This window comes from Homo sapiens, chromosome 17 (assembly GCF_000001405.40).
Source record: "Homo sapiens chromosome 17, GRCh38.p14 Primary Assembly".
NCBI lineage: Eukaryota > Metazoa > Chordata > Mammalia > Primates > Hominidae > Homo > Homo sapiens.
In genome coordinates, this window is record NC_000017.11 from 33,558,893 (window position 1) to 33,582,519 (window position 23,627).

The following is a 23,627-nucleotide window of genomic DNA, read 5'->3' on the forward strand; positions in this document are numbered from 1 at the left end:
AGTAGCTGGAACTACAGGTTATGCACCACCACGCCCGATTAAGTTTTGGATTTTTAGTAGAGATGGGGTTTCACCATGTTGGTCAGGCTGGTCTCAAACTCCTGACCTCAAGTGGTCCACTTGCCATGGGCTCCCAATTACAGGCATGAGCCACCATGCCTGGCTGACATGGTCCTTATTCTTAAGGCATGGCTTTCTGATGTCTTAACTGGATCTCCAGGTGTTAACAAGGCCTCTACACTCTGACTGAGCAAGAACTCCAGTATCTTCTAGCACTACTTGACTTCTAGTATTTTTGCTCCACTCTCAACCTCATAACAGCCCTTCCTGGTAAGCTTTTATGCCTTCTCCCTGTGTCTGTGCTGTCCATGACTCCTACCACAAAGATATCTGGGGCCCCCTTCCTCACAGCTCCCCACTTTATCATGGCCTACCCCACAGATTCCAGTCACTTCAGTAGTCTCAAAATCTGATTCCTGCTTCTGGTCAGTGGGAATGTCATGCTCTATATGGGCTCTGCCCCTCTACATCACAGCTAGAATATTGTCCCTAAATGAAGAACTGAAAAAAATGAGATCTCACTTCATAATTTTCTTTTTTTTCAAAGGTCGTGGTCTTGCCATTGCCATTGCCAGAAAGCAGTTTCCTTATATATTCTGCCTAGTTTTGTAGTCACTTATGGCAGAGGGCTAGCATAGTGCCAGTGTCTCCATTATTGTCAAAAGCAGAGATCCCCACATTCATACCTGCTCTTTTCAATGTATTTTCTACTCTGCAGCCAGAGTGATATTTCCATCTGATCATATCCAGTGCCCTCTTTAAGATTATTCAATGACCCCTTATTGCTTTGAAGATGACATGTAAGGGACAGTATGGGTTTTTGCCCATCAGTAAATTCCCAACACACAGTGTAGTACCTGCCTTATGATAGCTATGTCTATGATATAACTATTTTTGAGTAAGTGAATGAACAAGAAATAACATTTTTGGCTGACAGAACAACATAAGCAAAGGCAGGGTAGCATAAAATAGTATGGAGAATAGTGAACTATTTGGTGAAATTCCAACTCAGGATGCTGACTACAAATTACTCAAAGGCCTCATGTGCAGAAAATGTGACAATTGAAGCCCATGTTACTGTACTGCCATTTTTTTTCAATCACCAAAGGCCTTAAACCATTTGCTCAGCATGAAGCTCTTAAGATGAATACAGCTGTCGAGGCAAGGCAAGGAAAGCTTTCTTGGACCTCGGTTGGCTGTGTTCACAGACAGACAGATGGACATGTGCGCAGGCAGAGGCAATCATCAATTTGCTAAAAATAACACCTCAACCAGTTTTTCACAGAAACCCTAAAGGAAGAGAAAACAGATCGATAGCAAGCATACCACTTGTGTGATGTTGACGTCCTCCCTGATCAGAGAAAGTGAAATCACCTTGGAGACCAAGTTCTTTCCCAGACAGTAGAGGAAATGACTAAGGCAACTGCTACTTTGGAACCAAGGGAGGCCCCAAAGGACTTATGAGTTGATTAAATAAATCTGACAGGAAATTTTAGATAAGGAAAATTGGCATTTATGATACTCAGGGAAGGGAAAAGCAGGATTTGGGCAGCAATGTATCTAGGACCTTTTCGAAGGAAGATTTTTTTAAATGTTCAGAGGAAAGCGAGGTGTGGGTCTGTGGTTTGAGACTCTGGAAAGAACTCAAATGAGGTCAAAAGTTCTCCAAAATATAGTTTCAAAACTGTGCCCTAGAAAATACTCCCAAGGTGAAAGAAGCAACGAATGTGACCATGGAGGTTAGCAGGAGACAGAAATTCACATTTATTGGGTATCCTCTGGGTGAGGGCAGACTGCTTGGGGCTTTCCATGAGTTAGCTCATGTTATCTTTATAATAACTCCATACGTTAGGATCTATTATTCTTATCTTAGAAGTGAAAAACTGAAGCTTAGATAAGTTACAGTATCTGACTGAAGTCACACAACTAATACACAGCAGAACTTCAATTCATACCCAGATTTATCTAATTCCAAAGCCCATAGACCTTCCAAAATACCACATCGCCTCCCTGGTGTGCATCCTGTTTTTTTGTATGCAGTAGTAGGTGGCATACTTCTGGGCAGTCTAAATTTTCAGAGGTCAAGCCTTTCTGTTTCCTGGGCCATAGGGTAATGAATGCAGTGTTACAGAGAAAAGGGAGCATCGTTATGACGAAAAGGGAGATTCTCATTTCAGAAATGAGAATGTTAGGCCCACTCATTACTGGTAAGAATTCTTTCCACTTCCCCACTCATGAAGGCCAACACTAGAATTTATGGATATATGTATGCATATATGTCATGGCCAAAGGTCAAATTCCAGCTTTATCCTGGAGTCCGGAAGGCACAGGTATAACATCCATGCCTGTGTGCTTGGCTTGACATGCTTGGGTTTTAAAAATCAATTAAAGAGAGGCTTTGATCTAACATAGAACTGATAGCACTGGCAGGTGCTCTCTAAGCTTAGTTTCTTGCTATGCAATGCAACATTTATAAAATTCATTCCCACCTGTAGCAAGGCAACCCCACTTTACATTTGTGAAGGGTCTTCAGGAAGGCAAATAATTAGCTTCGGTGATAGAAACAGAAGACTGAACAGAAACAAAACACAGAAACTCTTGTTAGTGGACTCTTCTTCCACTGTCTGCATCGTTTGGAGTGCTGCAATTTGTAGAACACCATCCATTTTCTTATACACTTTGGTGTTTTTATTCAGACAGACATAGGGGGCGTGAGCTAGAACATATGCTGGTGTGAGTTTGGATGTGTGTATTGAAAGAAGAGCAGGCAGGAGCCTGGAAAAAAATATGTGCAAATATGGCAAGGAGCAGAAAGCCCAGCGGGAATTGCTGGTTTCCTAGCAATCAATGACCAATTTCCCTTTGGGGCTATTCCCAGAAGTGCAGATCACTTCAAAAATAGATGCACGTCTTAGTTCAGTGATTGACGTTTTTCTACCAAGGACTGTGTGCACAAGCATCCCTCTAGTGAGATCTTAAGATCTTGGATTTGAGTATTCACATTCCTAAGACTCCTCTTCGAAGTTCCCTCCTCACTTCCCAGACTTCTCGGGTTTTATCTCAGGATAGCTGTTCCAATCCGGAGTGATGAAAGGATTTCTTGCAGGGAATCAGTCAGTGGCAGTTGTTGTTCTCAGGACATTCAGAACCATCCTCCAAGACTCAGCTCAAAGGCCGCTTCCTTTGTGAAACCCTCTTCAACTTGTACGGGCCAAATGCCCCTTTCACCTTTCTCTGCACTTTCAAATTTGACATTTTCTTGTAACACATTTTTTTTTTTTCTAAATGGCTGTTTTTATGCAGGGGCTATCTTTCCCAATACAGTAGAAGCTTCTTGGTTCCATCTGATTTATCTCTGTCGCTTTCTGGTGCCAAGCACAGACCTAGTGTACGCTAGGTGCTTAGAAATGCTTGTTAAATGATTGAACAAATATACAGAGCCTCAGAGATTTCTTATGTGCTTTCAAATTGCCATTCCCATTCCTAATCATCAGCCTTGTATTCCCAGCTTGGAAAAAAGCAGAAGAATCACTGTCTAGGACCGATGGATGTCATTGCTGCATCAGTGTAGGACGTGACATGCTACCTGTCCTGGAGGGCCACCACCAGGAGAGAGCACGTCACACTCTTGTGCATCGGAGTGAGTCTTGCCTGATAAGGGAAGTCACTCTTGGCACCTATCTCTTGGGAAAAAGGAGCGTCTCAGACCAGAGCTGGCATGTGATAGGCTTGGGGGCTTCCTACAGGAATGGGACTCTAAGGCTTAGCCTCCAGAGGGTTGATATGTGAGGCAGCTCCTGGATAAGATGGCACCAACTACTTGGAATGGACCCAGCAGCTAGCTAGGAGGTAGGGGTATCAAGCAAGGGGCTGGATGGGTGGCTGCCTCTGATGACATGTGGATCCCACACTCAGACCACAGGATAAACTGGGCCTGAGTGTCACCCTCTTGATTCATTTTCTGCACTCCCTTAGTATTTAGGCAACTTCCCTGCATACCACAGCCAGTTGCAGCTGCTCCACAGGAGAACCACAGGATTCATGGGCTTAGGCTAGTGGGCTCTAGGAGGAGCTGTTGCAGGGAGATTGCTCAAGGGAATGGGAACTCTTGGGCCAAAGGAACCATGATGGCACAGCCAGCCACCCGTCAAACTGGGGAAGCTTCCCTCTAAAGCTTAAATCTCCAGAGTTTTGCTACTTAAAATGATGAGGCTTTCTGCTCAGACCTTCTGATAAGTGGGAAGACAGTGATACTTCAGTTAGCACAGGACAAGAAGGGAAATGACATTTGCACAGTATTTGTCCTGTACCAGACACTTTACATGTCTGCTAATCCAATCTGCTCAGCAGCCTAATGATGTAGATATTATTTTTCCTGTGTTATGGTGGATGAAACTGAAGCCTAGAAAGAAGTGACTGCTCACAGGATAAACCGGGAATTAAATCCACGCTTCCTCATTCCCAACCCTGGCTCCTTCTGATTCTTGCATTTGAGGCATCTGTAAAAATGTATAGCTCTACCTCCTCCTGCTCCCCATCCCCAGCCCACCACTGGAGCATTTTTCACTAAATGCTGAAGGTACTCTTGGCCTTTACCTACTTCTTATTTTTCTAAGCTGCATGGCCTCAGGTCTGCTCCTTGGTGATTCCACCTGAAACTTCTGGAGTGCATCAGGCTGAATGAGAAAAAGCATTCAGCCAGATCCAATCTTGTAGCCACTGCTCCCAGTTAAAGAACCAGTGAGGGGCCAGACTGGAAATGATCTCAGAGACCATCTAGTAGAACCCCATAGCTTTTAATATGGCGAATCCAAGGCCACATGGGGAGTGACTTGCCCAAGCCCATCTGTAGCAAAGGAGATGGGTGGGATGCTAGAGCCAGGTTTCTCCTGGCCACCTGCCTTATTTCTTGGATGCTTTGACCAGCAGGATGGGCTTCCTTTCACTATTGCCATCTGGAGAGCCAAGTCTGCATTTGACTACAGACATGCATCTCTAACTCTGGTACTCGAATATTTCTTACGAGATTAGATGGCTAAAGTAGAAATCAGGGCCATAGTCCTGACACTGGAACCAGGAGCTCCCTGCAGGAAGTCACATATTCCTGTGGTGGGAGGAGCACCGCGGCAGCCCCCCTGAGGAGGTGAGGCTGAGCTGATGCCCTGCACGGTCTTGCATGGCTGAGATGAACCGGATAAAGGTGCATTGCTCTGAGACACACAGACACACTGCCTTGTCTCTGTCTGTCTTCCTCTCTCGTTTTAAAGCCTGCATCCCTATCTCCAAGTCAGCAATCCAATTAGTGGAGATTTTTAAAGAAAACCTCAATATTGAAAAACAGAAGTCTCAGTTAAGGAGGCCTGCCCTGACTCGTTAATCCACCGGTCAGTTTGCAATGGATCAGGTTGAAGTTGGCTTTCCCCACCACCTCCAGGAGTGCTGATTTAAGGGGATCAAGCCCTTAATCCCAGAGATTAGGATCTTTGCCAGCAGCACCAGTACAGTCCCTGGGTCAGTGGAAAGTCACATAAAGTACAAAACTCTGTTTGGGTTTCCTGAGTTAATTATCCTTTTTATTTGTTGTCTTTCTGCAAATAGGAATATCCAAAGGTTGCAGAGGCTATCCATGCCCCTGAGGAGCAGCATAATGGCACTGCCTGCCATGCACACCTCGAAGTGCCAGCAAGCCACCCCTAGCCTGTTGGGAGCAAGCCCCCCAAAATCTGGCCATAAACTGGCCCTAAAACCGGCCATAAACAGAATCTCTGCAGCACTGTAACATGTTCATAATGGCCCTAACGCCCACGCTGGAAGGTTGTGGGTTTATGGGAATGGGGGCAAGGAACACCTGGCCTGCCCAGGATGGAAAACTGCTTAAATGCATCTTAAGCCACAAACAATAGCATGGGTGATCTGTGCCTTAAGGACATGCTCCTGCTGCAGTTAACTAGCCCAACCTATTCCTTTAATTCGCCCATCCCTTCGTTTCCCATAAGTGATACTTTTATTTAATTTAACATCTATAGAAACAATGCTAATGACTGGTTTGCTGTTAATAAATACGTGGGTAAATCTCTGTTCGGGGATCTCAGCTCTGAAGGCTGTGAGACCCCTGATTTCCCACTTCACACCTCTGTATTTCTTAATTCCTCTAGCACTGCTGGGTTAGGGTCTCCCCGACTGAGTTGGTCTCGGCACTAGTCTGTGTCCCTGGCTTGCCCTTCCCTCCAACTCTGTCCTGCAGGATCTCTCTCTCTCATTAATAATAACTAGCTTTTCCATATGAGCCATCCAACTCTGTCGGCTGGGAACTTCTACCCTCATTGCCTTCTTTGGGTTTTCAGACAGTTATAGGAGTCAGAGCAGATATTCAAATTCTCATTTTACAGGTGAGCAAGTTGAGGTTCTGGGAGGACATAATAGTTAGTAGGTGGCAGGGCTGGGACTTGAAAGCAGAACTTCTGCCTCCATATCTGTGCACACAGCACCACCTCTGCAGTCCCTGTACCATGATTTTCTTTGTGCCTTGCTCTCTGTTGTTTTCCAGAACAGTCCTTAGAGGTAAAGTGGACACTTCATCTGCCTTACCAGTGCCCATGCACGTCCTCATCTTCCTTACCAAGAGAACCCAGAACTGGTTCAGAGATCCAGGCCTCCCACCTCAGGTGACTCCACCCTCAGACTGATCTGAGGATAATCCCATTCCCCCTAACAATGGGAAGGGCCATGTGAACCAATTCTGGCCAATGAGAGAGGGAAAAGAGTCTGTTAGGAAACTTAGGGAAAACCTCTCCTCTCTTCTAAGAGACTCATAAGAAGAGAGCTTCTCTTCCTCCTCTGGACGCTGTCCTGTGTGTAGCACTCAGGACTGCTGAAGACATCTAGGTAACAGCTTGAAGGTGAAACCAGCACTGAGGTTTCCTGATTCCTGGGTGGAGCGCAGACTGGAGCCTAAGCCCTGACAGCATGGTGAGTGTTGACTGTCACACCTGGGGCTGATTCTGAACTTCCCATGATGTGAACTCAGGAGTTTTCTTACTGCATATGCCTGTTAGAATGTGGCTTCTCCTCTTGTAGCTGGGAGCACCCTTCCTGGCTGGGATCAGCCTGCAGGTGCGCTAAGCCCTCCTCACTCAGCTCTCCCTTCCCTTACGTCTTTCTCTGTTACTCTGCCTCTGTCCTTTTGTCAGGAGGGCTTATACATGAAGGGGAACTTGAAGTACAGAATAGATGGGAGTTCTGCCTAGCTCAGGACAAATACTTGGAATACTTGAGATAATTGCATTTTGTTTGTTTGGTTGGTTTTAGTGTTAAGATTCTTTGTGGTGGCCATATTACAGCCTTGGGAATGGTAGATCCTTTTATTTTTCCTATAAAGGAGCCACCCCTTCCACAGTCCCTGCTGGGCCCTTCCCTCTAACCAAGGCTCAGCTGATTGAACCAGGCAGGAACACCCAGCTCCAGAGAGAATCATCTGGGCTGCCAGCTGTCCATACATTGTGGCTGCTGTTAATAGAAAAGATGAGTAGGCAACTACAAGTTTGTCATCTGAGGACTTTGAACTAAGGGCACAAAACATGTTATTAGCCAGTGGAGAGACAGACATACACAGACCTGGGAGAGCATGGGCAGCTGGATGTGCTATAGTATATTCCCCCTTACAGCAGAACAGTCATAGAAGGTTTGCAATGCTCCTGAGCCACCTGGAACCCCAAAGCTCTTTCAGGTCCGGGCACAGTAATCTCTATCTCCAGGATTCCCTTTGCCACCCACTCCTTGTGATAATCTCCCATGATTTAAGATGTCTTCCCCCTGCAGCTAGACACCCATTCCCTGGCATGACACACAGGGCCCTCCGTGATCTTTCCTGACTGTGTCCCCTGCTGTCTCAACTTGCTCCTCTTAACTGCATTGCCTCCACTCCTCTACACATGCCACATCCTTCCATATCTTCCTGCCTTGGTTTGTGCTATTCCCTCTGCTTGGAATGCCCTTGCTCTTTTTCCCCTGGTGAGATCATGTTCATCTTCCAGAACCCAGCTCCTGTAGCTCCATGATTCTTTCAAGTAGATATGAGTATTCCTTTCCTTGTTTTCTCTTGCATGTGTTCATTCAAAATTTATGTATTTAGTGCCTACCATATGTGCTGTTATGACTATGAAACAAGGCTGGAGGAGGAAAGAGTGGCAGGATTGGGGTGGCTGTGGTGGCTGCTTTAGTGAGGGCCATTGGGGAAGTCTCTGAGCTGAGATCTGAAAGCGGTGAGAGAGTGGCCTTATGAAGGTCTGAGAGAAGACCTTCATTTCTAGCAGAGGGAACAGAAAGGTGAAAGCCCCAGGGTGAGAACAATTCTGGAAAGGAAGACAGCAAGCGTAGCTGGAGTGTAGAGAGTGAAGGTGCGTCAGAAAATGGGCAGGGATTAAATTATACAGAGCTTGATAGCCTCACTGGGCCACTGCAAAGAATGTGAATTTGGTCTAAGCATGAAGGGAAATTCCAGGGAAGGGTATGAGAGGAGCAAGTGCCAGGAACTGATTTGCATTTTAGAAAGGTTCATTTGGCTGCTGGACAGTGGGAAGGGAAGAGTAAAAACAGTATTCCAGGCAGGATGGTGTCTCTGGAGGGAGAAGCGTGGCAGGCCTGGGGCCTCCTGTGGAGGGAGAGTCAATAGGACTTGTGGACAGGCTGGTCGTGGAAAGGGAGGGCAAGGGATAGACTGGAATTGAATCTCAGATTAAGGCCTGAGCAATTGGGTACATGGAGGCACCTTTTACTGAGATGGGAACAAGTGGGGGAGTGAGTTTGGAGGTAGAGGTCAAGAGCTGGGTTAGGACCTAGAACTTGTCAACCATACTGCAAGACTTTGCTACAAGTCCCAGACTCCTTGAGGGGAGATTCCATGCATTTTTTTTTTGGTCTCTCTCCCCCACTCTACATAGCGCAAGTCTTCAGAAAAGAAGATACTTAGTCCATTGTTGATGAAGGCTTTGACTTCCACAATGTCCTTATTACTGAAAAATTGCAAATGGTACATGGATATCCTTCTTTTCATTACCTTACTTGGTCACCACCAAGCCATTTTGTTTTTATATTTGATTACTCTTCAAATGGCAGTAACATCATCCCTCAGTCACAAGTCAATCTGACCTCCCTCCACACCTATGCCCTCCTTTGGTCCTCTCACAGTCAAACATGACCCAAATGGGTGCCAGGGGAGCCCTCCAGTTAGAGACTTGTGCTGGCAGGTGTTCCATTAGCATACCTTGGTTCAGGAAGATGTGATAGCTTGTTCCCACTGGGTTATGTCAAATTGACCAATCAATCACCAACCATATACTGAGCACCTTTGATAATAAGCCCTTACCTTTGGCTTGCACTTTATAGCTTACAAAAAGCATTTTTATATATCCGCTCATTGGACTTGTGCAACCAACCTCTGAATTGATGAGGCAAGGTCTCTGGATATTAAATTCCCTATTTCATTTCAACTTCCACATCTTGCAACTAAGGGTCTTAAATAAGACTGTTCCCTCTGCCTGGTGTGTTCTTGTCCCTCTCATTGGCCTGGTAAACTTCCGGAAATGGTACCTTCCAGAATCATCTTAAGTATGAAATGACACCATTCACGACCCTCGAGCAGAGTTAATCATTCATCCCTTCCCCCTCTGTGTTATATGAGGCTATAGGGATATATCTGCCTTTTTATTACCCTCTAGATATACATAAACTATATAATACATATATACATACCTATCTCTCTAATAGATAATATTCTTTTTGAGGGGAAGGAATGTATTTCACCTCAGAATCTCAATGCCTGATATATTCCTTTACATATAGTTAGCAATCAATAAATCAATGGCCATATGGGTGTTCTTACAGCTTAAGGTCATATTGTGGAGAACTGTGTATATTTTGCTAAGGGATATGGAACTCAGCCTGTAGGCATAAAATAGTCAATGGGAGCTTGATTTATATCACGAAAGGCAGATGGCAGGCTCATTTCATAGAATTTATTTCCCTGAAAATTGATGAGTTTTGATTTATGTCTTCCCTTGAAGGTCAGGTTATGGACTGTTCAACTCACTTTGCCTTTCTCTCTACCAAGGGTTTCATGAGAATAAGATGGTGGAGATGGTGTCAGTTATACATAGCCTGTTTGTTTGTCTCACCCAGGAAGTTTCATTTCAACACATCAAATTTTCATTGAGCATCTACTGTGTGCCTGGCACTGTGGTCAATGCCGTGATAATAAGGCAAGGTGGTTGGGGCGCCCTTTGCAAAAGCCCTGGAGGTGGGGCCTGCAAGGCATGTAGAATGGTGACATGTCTGAGTCCCCTGTCGTGTAGCCTTCATTCCATGCTGTTGTGATCTGTTCCCAGGGACTTGCAGCTCAAGTATATCTGTGCTTCACTGGAAGAGTTGAAAGAGCTGGAGACTGTCTGTGATCAATGAGCCCCTGTCACTCTCATGACACTTTCCTGAACCATTTCACCAGCACTCAGGTGAGCCTGCAATAATGGGCTGATGGGATGGGCCCACAGGGAGTGAGGCAGTGGAGGGCAGCAGCACTGATGGATGTTAAGCATCAGAACGGCCCACTAGAAGACTTAATTGACTTCTTCAGGCTCTTCCTTCGTGTGCACTTATTCATCCATCCATCCATCCATCCATCCATGCACACACCCAGCTATTTATTCTTTCATCCACTCATTCATATCTTTAGCTTAAAGCACAGGTCTGCCTCTTCTTTTTGGTGCATATCATCCATCCATCTATCCATCCGTCCATCCATCCATCCATACATGTATCCATAATTCATCCATGAACCCTTAATTCATTTTTAAAGCACATAGTTCCTTGCTCAAAAACCCTGACTGGCTGTCATGTGTCGCATGTTAGAAGCAAAGTTGCCTGTCTTAGCATTCCCAATTAGCCTATATTTCCTGATCATATCTATATGAACCCTTCCTTAGCTCACTTTCCCCTGGGGCAAGCTGGATTTTTTTCTCCTCTCCTTTTCTCCCGCCCTCTTTCTCCTTTCCTCTGTGCCCTCCCCATCACTCCTCTCCACCTCTTGTTTGTTGCAGTCCAACTCTTCATTCACTTAAGTCTTCACTTCCTCGTGTGACTGTCCCCTTTGCTCTTGCACTAGCTGTCTCCTGGGTGATCTACCCCTTCTCTGAACTACTAAAGCTGTCAGCATCTGACTCACCCTTTGGGTTTTTGACTTTTGTGTCCTTAAATTTATCTTTTTATAAATGTGGTCTTTCTCCTCCAAGAATCCTGCCTTTCTTCAGTCCTAGTAAAGACTATTGCCTTTGACTCTATCCCATCTAGCCTTGAGCCCATCAGGACTCTGAGAAATCAGGAATGAGTCTTGATACTTCAAGCTTTGTGCTTCTGGCTCCTGGCCTGAGTCCTGGGCACCTGTGAGGCTCTGCTCTGAAGCCTTTATTCTCAGACCGCTGTACTTAAAGGAAGGGTGCATGTTAGGCTCACCTAGAAGCCTGTTTGGCTTTAACACTTGTGTCATTCTCCTGAGCCCCAGCACTGGGATGCAACCTGTCCCCTTACCCCAAATTTGATGAGCATTTTCTGTGAATTGATTAGTCCCAGAGAACCATATCACTGCTGTGTGTGTGTCTTTGAGTGTTACCATTTTAGTTACTTCTTGCTGTGTAACCATTTCAAAACCTACTGTTTCTCATGATTCTGAGTTGGTTGGGTGGTTCTTCTGCTGGTCTTCCCTAAGTTCATTTAGGTGACTACCATCAATTTAGGAGCTCCCTGGATAGCCTTGCCCACGTGTCTGGGGTGAAGTGACTGGAATGGCTGGGATGACCAGGCCTCTCTCTCTCTCCATGTGGCATCTCATCCTCAAGGAGGCAAGGCTAGGCTTCTCAGAATGTGGCAGGCTGGGAGTTCCAGGAGTATAAACGCAGATGCTTCACAGAGGCCTCAGCTCTGGAACTCACCCAACATCTCTTTCACCACATTGTTGGTCAAAGCAAGTCACAAGGCCAGCCCAGGTTCAAGAGTTGGAGAAAGAGATTTCACTCTTTTGATGGGAGGAGATCTAAAATATCGGGCCCAGCTTTTTCAATTCCCCACCTCATCTACCCTGTTCCATTCACCAGACTAATCTCCCCCAGAAGCGTACACCATTCCAGATTAGTCCCAAGTTCTCCACTTTAGAGATGACATATAACACCCTGGGCTATGACCTCAGGAGCCCTCTTTTTACCTCACTAGATCATCTCGACTCTCCTATACACTCTGTGAGGCAGGGGCTATGTCTAGACTCTGGCAACTGTCTGCACATCATCCTGTCGCATATTTTTCAGAGCAGTTATTACTACCTAAACTTAACTTCTTGTTGTTTTGTTCACTTGTGCATTGCCTGTTTTCCACCAAAACAACAGTTTCCTAGAGGAACTTTGTTTTGTTCACTGATTAATCACAGTACCCAGAGGTATACTTAGCGCAGAGTAGGTACTCAGTAGAAATTTTCTGAATGAGTGAAATGTCCCCAAAGACTGTGATCCAGCCTCAAACCCATTGATAACCCCTCTCCCAGCTCCTGTCACTGGCAGATGCCCAGAAACATGTTATTTAGGACAATTTATTCATTTATCACACATAAATGTGTGAAATGCTATGAAGGTTGTGGACAGCCTCTTTGCTCCCATTTGATAAATGTTTACAAGAGTCTTCTATATGCCCTGAGAGTGCTCTGCTCCTTGGAAGTGTATAATTTGTTTGATAAGACAAAACTTGAACATCTGGAAAGACAAGAGGATGTTGTCTGTTTCATTCAAATTCCTTCAAAGCAGTTCATCTCGGCCATTTGCATGTGTGCTGGGTGCACATTTTTTAAAAAGAGCAAAAACCCTGCCACCACTATTAGCACTCATCAAAGGGTTTACCAGCAATCCCTCAAGACTTCTCAGGCTCTTGTTTAGATGGGGTTGTTCACTGAGGTGAAATTCCAGGTGAGAGGAGATATTATATTTCTGGCATTTTCTCTGGCAGAAGATGAAGACTGTGCTCTACCTGTTCCTTCTCTGAAGCTAGAAGATCTGGTGTTTCGACTTTGCCCCAGCCAACTGACCACATTGAGTGATGTGCTTAGTTTACACTGAATACCAAGAGATGGGTGGGATTGCTGTGCATATATATTAGCAGGATTTTGGCTGGAGGCCACTTGTGACCTCTATTGAATGTAACTTCCTCACTCAGGAGTTGATATGGAACCACTCACTCCTATTGGCTCAGTGCCCAGAAGGCCTCAGAGAGAGCCCACAAGATCAACCCGACAGACCCCGGCTTTCCAAATAAAGAAACGCACCCCCCCCACCCCAGGGTAGGGGTCTTTGTGGGTCCTGCCTACACCCTCCTAGGATTGCTTTCAGGGGCTCAGAAAATTAGCAGTGATGTCCATGGCCACTACCTGAGCAGCGTATGCTTCCATGTGAGGCCGGGTTATGGCAGAGCTGTGATTTGTCCTTGGAATCTAGGCCACATCCCCAACACCCATAGGCTTCCCCAAGCATGGCAAGGAAAGGGGGACTCAGGGAACCCACTGCCCTTACCACACCCCAACCCTTGGTCATAAATAGGGGAGTTCTGAAACTGAAGGTGGTGAGCTCCCGCCTCCAGACTGAAGTGATGATAGAACTCAGTGCCTCTTTATCTTCAGATCAAATCTTATGACACCAGGCCCAGCCGCTTACCTGAATCAAGGCTGAGTCAGTGTGAGTAAATAGGACCAATGGTCACTCCCAAGTAGAACACTAAGCCACCCTTAGGAGATCTGCACGAAGTGATGGGCGCTGTCCATTGTACCTGCTTTGTGCCTTCCCCTGCTCCATAGCCTGGCCTGGCTGGAAGCACACAGCTGTCATCTCTGGGAACATTCCATTCTCTGCCCTCCTCCTGCCTTCAACCATGCACACTGCCTGTGACCTCATCTCCTCTGTCCTCAGGGACTGTCACAACCATCTGCCTATCATATTTTGGAGTTGACTATGAAATGAACAAGGATCCTGAATCTTAGTTCTTCCAGAAAGATAGATTTCCTCTTATGGTGTGAAACTATGGTCTTCCCAAAACGCACAGGTGCCAATCTTCAGAGGGGCCACAATGTCATCATGAAGGTGAAATATGGGCTTCATGGTACACGTTTACCTGGATAAGCATGGTTCATATAAGGAATCCAGAATAAGATGGACTGAAGATTCCCTCAGGACTCCTTTCTCAGATTTCCTGCTCCAACCTGTGTTAAAGGGGGCCACTAGACCATTTAGAATACCCTGCTATTTTCTTTGTCATTTAACTTTATTTATAAGTATATAAAATATAGAAAATAATACAGAGAAAAATTAAACAAATACCCACGGCCCATCTCAGGAAATGAAACATTATAAATACAACAGAAGGCCTCTGTGTGACTCTCCTAGATCCAACTCCCCATCTACCTTCCCTCCTCAGAGATAACCACCACCTGCAACGAATATTCCCAAGCTAGATATTATGCTTCCAGCACATGTGGGAAAGCAAACATCAGCTTGGTTAACAGTTTTGTTTGCCTGCTTTAAATCTTGTTTTTTTGTTTTGTTTTGTTTTTTCAAGACAGAGTCTTGCTCTGTCACCCAGCCTGGAGAGCAGTGTCATGATCTTGGCTCACTGCAACTTCTGGCTCCCAGGTTCAAGCGATTCTCCTGCCTCAGCCTCCTGAGTAGCTGGGACTACAGGTGCATACCACCACGCCCCGCTAATTTTTGTATTTTTAACAGAGACAGGGTTTTGCCACGTTGGCCAGGCTGGTCTCGAACTCCTGACCTCCGGTGATCCACCCGCCTCGGCCTCCCAAAGTGCTAGAATTACTGACATGAGCCAACACACGCAGCCTGCCTGCTTTAAATCTTTATCTAAGCAAAAGTACTATCTTCAGAATCCACTGTAACTTTTTCTGCCCTCAACATCAAGTTTCTGGTATTCAGCCACGTTGATACAGGCTGCTTACTCATTTGACCATCTCCTTCTCTTTTGGTGGACTGTTAGGGTGTTTCTAATCTCTCACTACCAGAGTGCCGCTCACTTCTCCTGCACAGGGAGGAGGAGCTCTCTAAGGTGGTTCTGTTCGTTTAGGTGTATCTTTGACTTAACTAAATAATACCGAACTGCTCTTCAAAGTGTTTGTATCTGCATTAGCATAAGAGTTACCATTGCTCTACCATCAATTAGTACTTGGCACTCTCAGATTTTTTCATTCCTGTTCCTTGGATGGTGGGAAAATGGCCTTTGCTCTTGCTTTAATTTGCATTCCCCTGATGATCCACCAGGCAGGGTGTATTTCATGCCTATTGACCATTTCTGCTTCCACTTCTTTATCTTACCTGTCCATAGCCTTGTCCATTTTACTATTGAGTTGTTGATCTTTTTCTTATTGATTTATAGCAGGGTTTCTTAGCAGTAGCACTATCAACATTTTAGACTGGATAATCCCTTGTTTTGGCAGGGGTTGCGTAGGGGTGCTGTGCTGTGATTGAAGGATCTTACTAGCATCCCTGGCCTCTACTCACTACATGACAGTAGCAAATTCTCTCCCACAACAGTTGTGACAAAAAATAAAAATGTTTCCAGGCATTGCCAAATGTCCCCTGGGGAGTAAAACTGCCCTCAGTTGAGAGCTGTTGATTTATAGGAACACTTTATTTTTCATAGATGTTAATCTATTTTTAGCCTTACAAATTGCATATATCTTTACAAAAATATTCTAGGACAGTCAATAGATGTGGTTCCTCTCTGTCTCAAAAACTTTGCCATGGAGAGAGGAAGATAGAACGGCACATTTATTGTGTCTGAAGAGCTAGTTTGGGTGGTCTCTGTTTCTATTTTTTTTTTTTTTGCTGCAGATCTACAAGATATGTGTTAATATTCATATTTTATAGATGAGGAAAATGAATCTGGTAATTTGCCCAAGGACACTCAACCAATAAGAGTAGAAACTGGTACAGATTCAGGTCTGTCTGTTTCAGCAGAGTGGAAAGAAGGTGGCACCAGGAGTGGGGAGGTCTGATCTTAGTCCTGGCTCTATCACTAGCTGGCCATATGACCAACGCCTGGCCTCCACACGTCAGTCTCCTCACATGATGATAAAGGGGCTGGACACAAGATCTCAAATGTTCCAGCCCATTCTACCAACAGCAGAGTGGTTGGCTTTGCCACTACCTCATGAGTGATTCATCTCTGAATCTCCACTCCTTGTTTTCCTCATATGAAGGTAGAGATGCAAACAGCACTGAGTCCCCAGGGCTTCTGTAAGCATTCGACGATTCATGTAAAGTACTTAACACATAGCACAAGTTCCATAGATGCCATAGACTGTCATTATAATTCCATAAATAGGAGACCAGTTAGTCTGGATTGGGAAGCACTGTGAAATGTAGAGTGTGATATAAAGGAATATTTCACTACCTTTAGGTATAAATAATAACACCCAGGAAGAGTTTTGTCAATAGGTAACTCTCCTTCTTTGAAAGGTGAAGAAAGGAGCTCTGTGACAAGCTTGTGGCTTATATGGTGGTGGTGCTTTGAAGAGTTACTCAGGCCTACCTATGGTTTGTCCTCTTTTCCAAGAGAATTGGCAGCTGGGCAGTGCTATCTGCAAAAACTGTACGGAGATAAATGTTAACCCAGGGGCTCCCAGAAATCACAGGATATGAATGGGGCTCTAAATGCATGCCTTGCTTTCCTCTCCATGAAAACTGTATTTGAAACAAGTGAGTCAAGCTGCTCTGGACTCGGTAGGTTTCATGGGCAGAGGGGCAGGCTATCAGCAAGCAGGGCCCCCCTTCAAAAGAGGGAGTACAGAGAGGCAAGGGGCTCTTTAAACATGCATGCCAAGAGAGCAAACGCCCCACAGCTAATGGCTCTGCAGGCTTAGAAAGGGGATGCCTGCAGAGTTTGCCTGTAATTAGTTGTTAACACATGAAAATAAAAGCCGATTTGGAAACAGAGTCCATCATTTATTTATAGCGATCCAATGCAAGTATTGTTTTAAATAAAAAACTGGACACAGTTCCTAGTCAGAACCAAACCATTCAAGTAGCTCCAGATTTACCTCCTCACTCACTCACCTTCTCTCTACCTTTTCTTAGAAGTCCGCCTAGACCAGACTGACCTGCCTGAGCCCTGCACCCTTTGGCTTTCAGGCTTGCATTCTGCCCCAGACTGTTGTGCATGACTAGATCGTGCCCCTGATTCCTTGCACTTGTGCCTCTGTGTGTGTGCTGGTGAATGAAAAGAGCACAGACTTCAGAGAGAACCCAGTTCAAATCCTGTTTCTAGCCATTTTCAGCTCTATGACCTCATGCAAGGCCCTCTCCAAGCCTAGGCTTGTTGTAATTCAGGTATAGATGTGACTAGGTATGGGGAGCCCCTAGTATGTTGCCTAGCACATAGCAGGCACCCTCATTCCCTCCTGGCCAAGGTCTGCATCTTTCTTTTTCATTCATTCTTAATTTATGGCAGAAAAATCAGAACAGCATAGATAGTACAAGTTCTAGAGCCAGATTGCCTCTCTGTGTTACTTCAAGTGACTTACTTAGGCTTACAGCGCCCAATGTCCTCCAATGGAAAGTGGGAATGATACCAGTACCTACCTCACAGGGCACCTGTGAAGGCCAAGTGAGCACTTAATAAGAACTCATTGCAATCCAGTGCTCTTGGTACAGGCAGTGATAGCATGCAAGAAGGAGATGTTTTCTCCTTACTCCCTACCCATAAATGCTATACCTGGAGTATGGTGAGAAAGCAAAGGGCACCTGGTTCTTTGAGTCTCACAGACCTGAACCAGGATCATACCGATTCCACCATTGTGATCCTGGGGAAAGGTATAGAACATCTCTGGGCTTCACTTTTCTTCTCTATAAAATGGGAGTATCAACAGCACCTACCTCATAGAGTTGTTGTAAGGGTTATATGCATTAATATGTGTAATGCGCTCAAAATAGGGCCTGACATATAGTATGTTCTCATTAAACATTACCTTGTAACAAATGTATGACCTCTTTGTTGACTTTGAGCCTCTTCATTCATCTTTTCTCCTCTGCTTTTCCTTCTTATACCTTCCTCTGGCCAGAATACCCAACTGCTAGGGCTTGAGAAGACAATGTTGAAGACAGTTAGCCCTCTCTCCATTGCCACTGAGTGCTGTGTGATTTATACACAGTATCCCAGGGAAGCCTCCTATTACTGCTGCAAGGGAGGGTCATTTTAAGAGGAGTCCAAGGCTTCTGGAACATGTTATGCTCCCTCTGTGGCCCCAGGTCTAAGTGCAGCCCTTAAATTACTGTGCAGCTTCAGAAGAGACTGAAGCATTTCCTTGTCAGAAAACAGCTTTGCTCCTTCTGGAAGGGAATCTCCAGGGGAGAGGTGTAAAGGAAGAGGAGCGGCGAGCAGGGCAGCCTGACATGGGATTCAGGTGCTGCTGAGAGGCCTCCCCATGCTGTGGAGACAACAGACCCTACCGTATTGGTTCTCTAGACCCAGTGCTTCCCAACCTGGCACAGCATTAGTATTTCCTGGACTTCTCCCCAGAATAACCAAACCTGATATTTCAGGAATATGGCCCTGGAATGAGCATTCTTACCAACCACAGGGGATTTGGGTGCAGCAAATGAACAACAGTGGAAAAGCAGTTCCCCTAGCACCTATTTTTACCAGTCCCCTCATTCTCTAAGGAATTAGCCACCAACTGAGAGATGTCCCAGATATGACTGCTCAGCCTCATTCCCCTCCTCTGTGTTCACACCATGTTCCACCCGGCCTGCCCCCAACCTGTCTTACACCACCATCCGTGAAACTCCTACCCTTCTGCCTAGGGCCTCTCCAAAGGAGAGAAGAGAACCTTTCCAGTGGCAGCCAGTGGTGTGTTCCTGGTGCTTGAGGTGTGAGTTGAAAATGCCATTATTAGCATTTTTCATCCAGCTGCATCCAAGCCTGGCCACGCTTCTGTTGCTTACTTGGGCTTCCAATCTCCATTTACAGGTTTTGCACACAGCGAGGACTCAAGGACTGTACTTTCTGGGTGGAGCTGAATTTCTATAGGAACATACTTCCCGTCTCCTAAACAGCTGACTTATAAGACACCTTTGGAACCCATTCTACTGGCAGTTTAGAGACCACCTGCCCTTATTTTATTTAACTGAACCCCTTCCACTCTACTTTGGGCCATAATCTCTGATTTTAGGAATGATGAGACGTTCTGAATGCCCTTAGAAGTGTTCCCCTATCTACTGGTCATTAAAAGCAAATGACAGCACAGTGAAACACTGTGGTTTAGAAGTTTCTAATCCTGGTAGTAACTCAAGCTGACATTTCAATTCTCTGAGCCTTAATTTTTATTTATAGGACACGTTAAACCAGATGATTTCTAAAATCTCTTCAGGCTCTGCTACCTTACTCATTTACAGTATCAGTCATTTACACCTTAGTATGAATAAAGACTGAACAAAGTAAAATGGGTGGGCGAGACAATTGGGACGGATAGAAGAATAAAGGGACATAGACAAAATGGCTAAGGGACACCAAGAAAAAAGTTCAAACAAGTTTCCTTAGGGAAGCCTTTGCCTATTCTTGGGAAGATCTTTATACGTTTGGGGTTCAGTCACTATGTCATTAGACTCCATCTCTCCCCTTATTTACTTCACTCCCCCCTCCTCTTCCCTACACCAACTCTACAACTGACCCGGCTTGACCTTGACAGAGGGGGCACTAATGGCTTTTCAATACAGCCCCACCTGGAAGGTGCTGATTTCGCATAATCCTAAGATTAGTCTAGTCACAGTTCATATAGTTCAGGGACTGTAATTAAACTGTGGAGCTAAACATTGGGGTCTGTGACCTGAAACAGTGACCGTGGTAAAACCCTGCCACAGCAGGCAAGAAAAGATGGATGGGGTCAGAATTCTCTAGCTTCTGCTGCTGCATCCTCACCTGGTCCTAGGGAGCACCTTGGAAGCGGTTATAGAATGCAGGTTAATGGTCAGGTGCGCTGTCTCACTCCTGTAATCCCAGCACTTTGGGAGGTCGAAGCGGGTGGATCACTTGAGGTCAGGGATTCAGACCAGTCTGGCCAACATGGTGAAACCCCGTCTCTACTAAAAATATAAAACAGTAGCCAGGCATGATGGTGGGCGCCTGTAATCCCAGCTACTTGAGAGGCTGAGGCAGGAGAATCGCTTGAACCCGGGAGGCAGAGGTTGCAGTGAGCCAAAATCACACCATTGCACTCCAGCCTGGGTAGCACGAATGAAACTGTGTCTCAAAAAAAAAAAAAAAAAATGCAGGTGGGTGACTCAGATGTTGGCTCAGGGCACACTGGAACACGATGTGGCTTGGTATGTTTACAAACCTCTAACACTCCGCCTCATTATTCTGGAGGGGAAGGTAGAAAACAAGGAGATATAGACTAGGGCTGCGGGGTACCCATCCAGTTTATTCATTCAACATTCATTGAGAATCACGTGCCTTACTGTGCCCAGAATTGTCTCCTCCTGGTGGGTTCTCGGTCTCCCTGCCTTCAAGAATGAAAGGGCAGACCCTACTGGTGAGTGTTACAGCTCTTAAAGATGGTGTGTCGGGAGTTTGTTCCTTCAGGTGTTCAGCTGCGTCTGAAGTTTCTTCCTTCTGGTGGGCTCCTGGTCTGGCAGACTTCTAGAGTGAAGCTACAGACCTTCGCAGCCAGCGTTACAACTGTTAAAAGTAGTGCGGACCCAAACACTAAACAGCAGCAAAACTCATTCAGAAGAGCAAAAGAACAAACTACCACACCGTGAAAAACACCCCTTGGATTTCGGCGTCTGGCTCGGGTGGGCTGCATTTATTCCCTTATTTGGCCCCACCCACATCCTGCTTATTGGTCCATTTTACAGAGAGCTGATTGGTCCATTTTACAGAGAGCTGATTGGTCCATTTTTCAGAATGCTGATTGGTCCGTTTTTACAGAGTGCTGATTGGTATGTTTACAAACCTCTAGCTAGACACAGAGTGCTGATTGGTGCATTTCCAATCCTTTAGCTAGACAGAAAAGTTCCCCAAGTCCCCACCTGACCCAGAAGGCCAGCTGGCTTCACGTCTTATTAACATCCTGAACTCCAGGGTTGGTACCCACAGGGTAGTAAGTTGACCACCAGACCACTTTATACAGCATCCAAACTGGCATGGAGAACTCAGACTCCATTCAGATGGATATCAATTCCATCTGGATCTAATTAAATGCAAAGGACCCAGCATCACAAATACAGGTGGCAGGTAAGACTCAAAGTCAGGAGTGCAGCACTGCTGCAACTCTGGGTATAGAGTTCTATGAGAGCAGGGCTTTGACCATTGTGGTGGGAGAGATGTATGCAAAGAGGGAGCGGAAGGAAAGAGCTGGGGACTAGAGATCTGAGTAGAAACCGCACTACAGGTGGCATCAGTATCATGAAAGAATGCAAATGATGTTACTTGTAGATGTGTGGGTCCCCAGGGCCCACACTAGGCAAATTGGATGATGGGTCTGTTGCACTAAAACCAATGCCAGGCTGCACTCATGAGTGACGCTGAGGGTCCTAATGGCTCCCTGCACCTATCAGGTTAGCTCAGGATTAGGAGGAGTTAAGAATGAGAGTGAAGACTCAATGACCCCAGCTCAGCACCTCCTCCTCACTCTTGTTTTTGTGACCCTGGGGTCCCCAGGTACTTCGTCAGTGGGATCTCACTCTTGCTGCGTCTCAGCTAATATAAGATAAGGTGGTAGTAATGTCTTATTGTAGCACCTCCCCAAGATATGAAAAATAACTAAGTTCTTTTTATTAAATGGCTTAAAGGCCTATGGGATACAAGCACTACAAGTGTAATAGTGTCATCTGCATAGGGGCACCTACCCAGGGTTAATGGGCCACGGTCATGTAGATACCACCTTTTTGGTTTATGCGGTAGGCAAAATTTTTAAAATGTCCCCATCCTCAAGATCACACCTCTAATCTCTAGGATCTTTGAATAGGCTGAGATACCACGTCCATGAATATGTTACATTTACAGCAAAAGAAGTTTTGCAGATGTAATTAAGGTTACTAATTAGTTGACCTTAAAATAGGAAGATTAGCCTGGATTATCTGGGTGGGCTCAATGTAATCCCATGTGTTCTTAAAGGCAGAAGAGGAGGACAGCAGGTGAAGTCAGAGAGATTCAAAGCACAAGGATTCAACTTTCTGTTGCTGGCCTTGAAGATGCAGGAGGCCATGAGCCAAGGAATGCAAGCAGCCTCTGGAAGTTGAAAACGACCTAAGTGCTCAGTCCTACAGCTGCATGGAACTGAAATCTGCCAACACCCTGAGTGATCCGGAAGTGGATTTTCTCCCAAAGCCTCCTGATAGGAGCCCCAGCCAGCTGACAGATTGACTTCAGCACTATGACATCAAAGAGCCCACCCAAGGCTGTTACTGGAAGGAGGGCCTTGAGTGTAAGTTATTCAGTTTCTTGGCGTTTTGAACAAAGACTTGGACAAAACACACAAAGTAACAAAGGACTGAAACATAGGAACGAAGTAGGGAAAGCAGGAATGTATTAAAGTGAAAAAGGACCCCACAGGGTGGGAGTCGGCCCAAGCAGGTGGCTCAAGGGCCCAGTTGCAAAGTTTTCTGGGTTTTAAGTTCTCCTGTTCAGATTCCTATTGGCTACCCTTTATCTGGATGAAGAATTTGGCCTGTGGCTAATTAAAGGATGAAGTGAATTGGTGTCCTATGCGATGAAGGGATGGTCCCTGCTTGGTCCTCGGCCCATCGAAGGCACTCTCCCTGTCCATCTGAGACATTGAGTAGCCTTTGCTCCTTTGCTACTCTGGAGCGGGGAGGTGGGGTTTTTCCTTTTGGTTTAGCTTTAGGAAGTTGGTTTAATTGGCCTTAGCTTCCCTGACCGTAGACCCAGGTGCTATCCTTTTGATTCAGCTTTAGGAAGTCAGCACGAATTGGCCTCAGATTCCGTGTCCCCACACCTTGGTGTTTTTCCTGGATTCAGCACCAATTGTCCTTAAGTTCCCTGCCTCCAGACCCTTATTCTCCTTCCTGAAGACAGCTTGAACTTCTGACCCACAGAACTAGGAGCTAATAAATGAGTGTAGTTTTAAGCCACCGAGTTTGGCAATTTGTTACAACAGCTGTCGAAAATGAATGTAATCTACAAAATAGGAGACTGTCACTTAGGGGAGGGACAGTAATGCGTTGTGAGCACCTGGAGGGCAGAAACTGGGTGTTATTTATTTGGAGGCCTTACAGCCTGATATGTAGTAAATGCTCAATAAATATAAGTGAATGAATCAATGAATAAATGTTAAAAGGATAAGCAAAGGAGCCAGGCTCAGTCTATAAATTAATGATTTCCCAAATAGCTGCAGATTCCAGGATGTGTTCAACCGAGAGGCAAGGGTGCTGAGAGGTTAGCGCTTAAGAGTCTGTTGTCTGGAGTCTGAGGTCTAATCTCAGTTTGGTCTGCTAGCTGTGTGACCCTTGGGCAAGTTA

The 23,627-nt window shown here is 45.5% G+C and overlaps 1 protein-coding gene and 1 long non-coding RNA gene across 3 annotated transcripts in view; one reads left to right on the forward strand and one right to left on the reverse strand.

The window, feature by feature from the left end:
- Positions 1–23,627, reverse strand: part of ASIC2 (acid sensing ion channel subunit 2) — a 1,143,682-nt gene that overhangs the window by 545,806 nt on the left and 574,249 nt on the right. The window lies entirely within an intron of this gene.
- Positions 115–23,114, forward strand: ASIC2-AS1 (ASIC2 antisense RNA 1). Of its 2 annotated transcripts, none has more exons than XR_001752838.2 (4): positions 115–330; positions 6,608–7,029; positions 10,443–10,565; positions 22,264–23,114. It is a non-coding gene; the product is annotated as an ASIC2 antisense RNA 1 (long non-coding RNA). The 2 variants fall into 2 exon arrangements; XR_001752839.2 differs by lacking the exon at positions 22,264–23,114 and adding an exon at positions 13,096–13,757.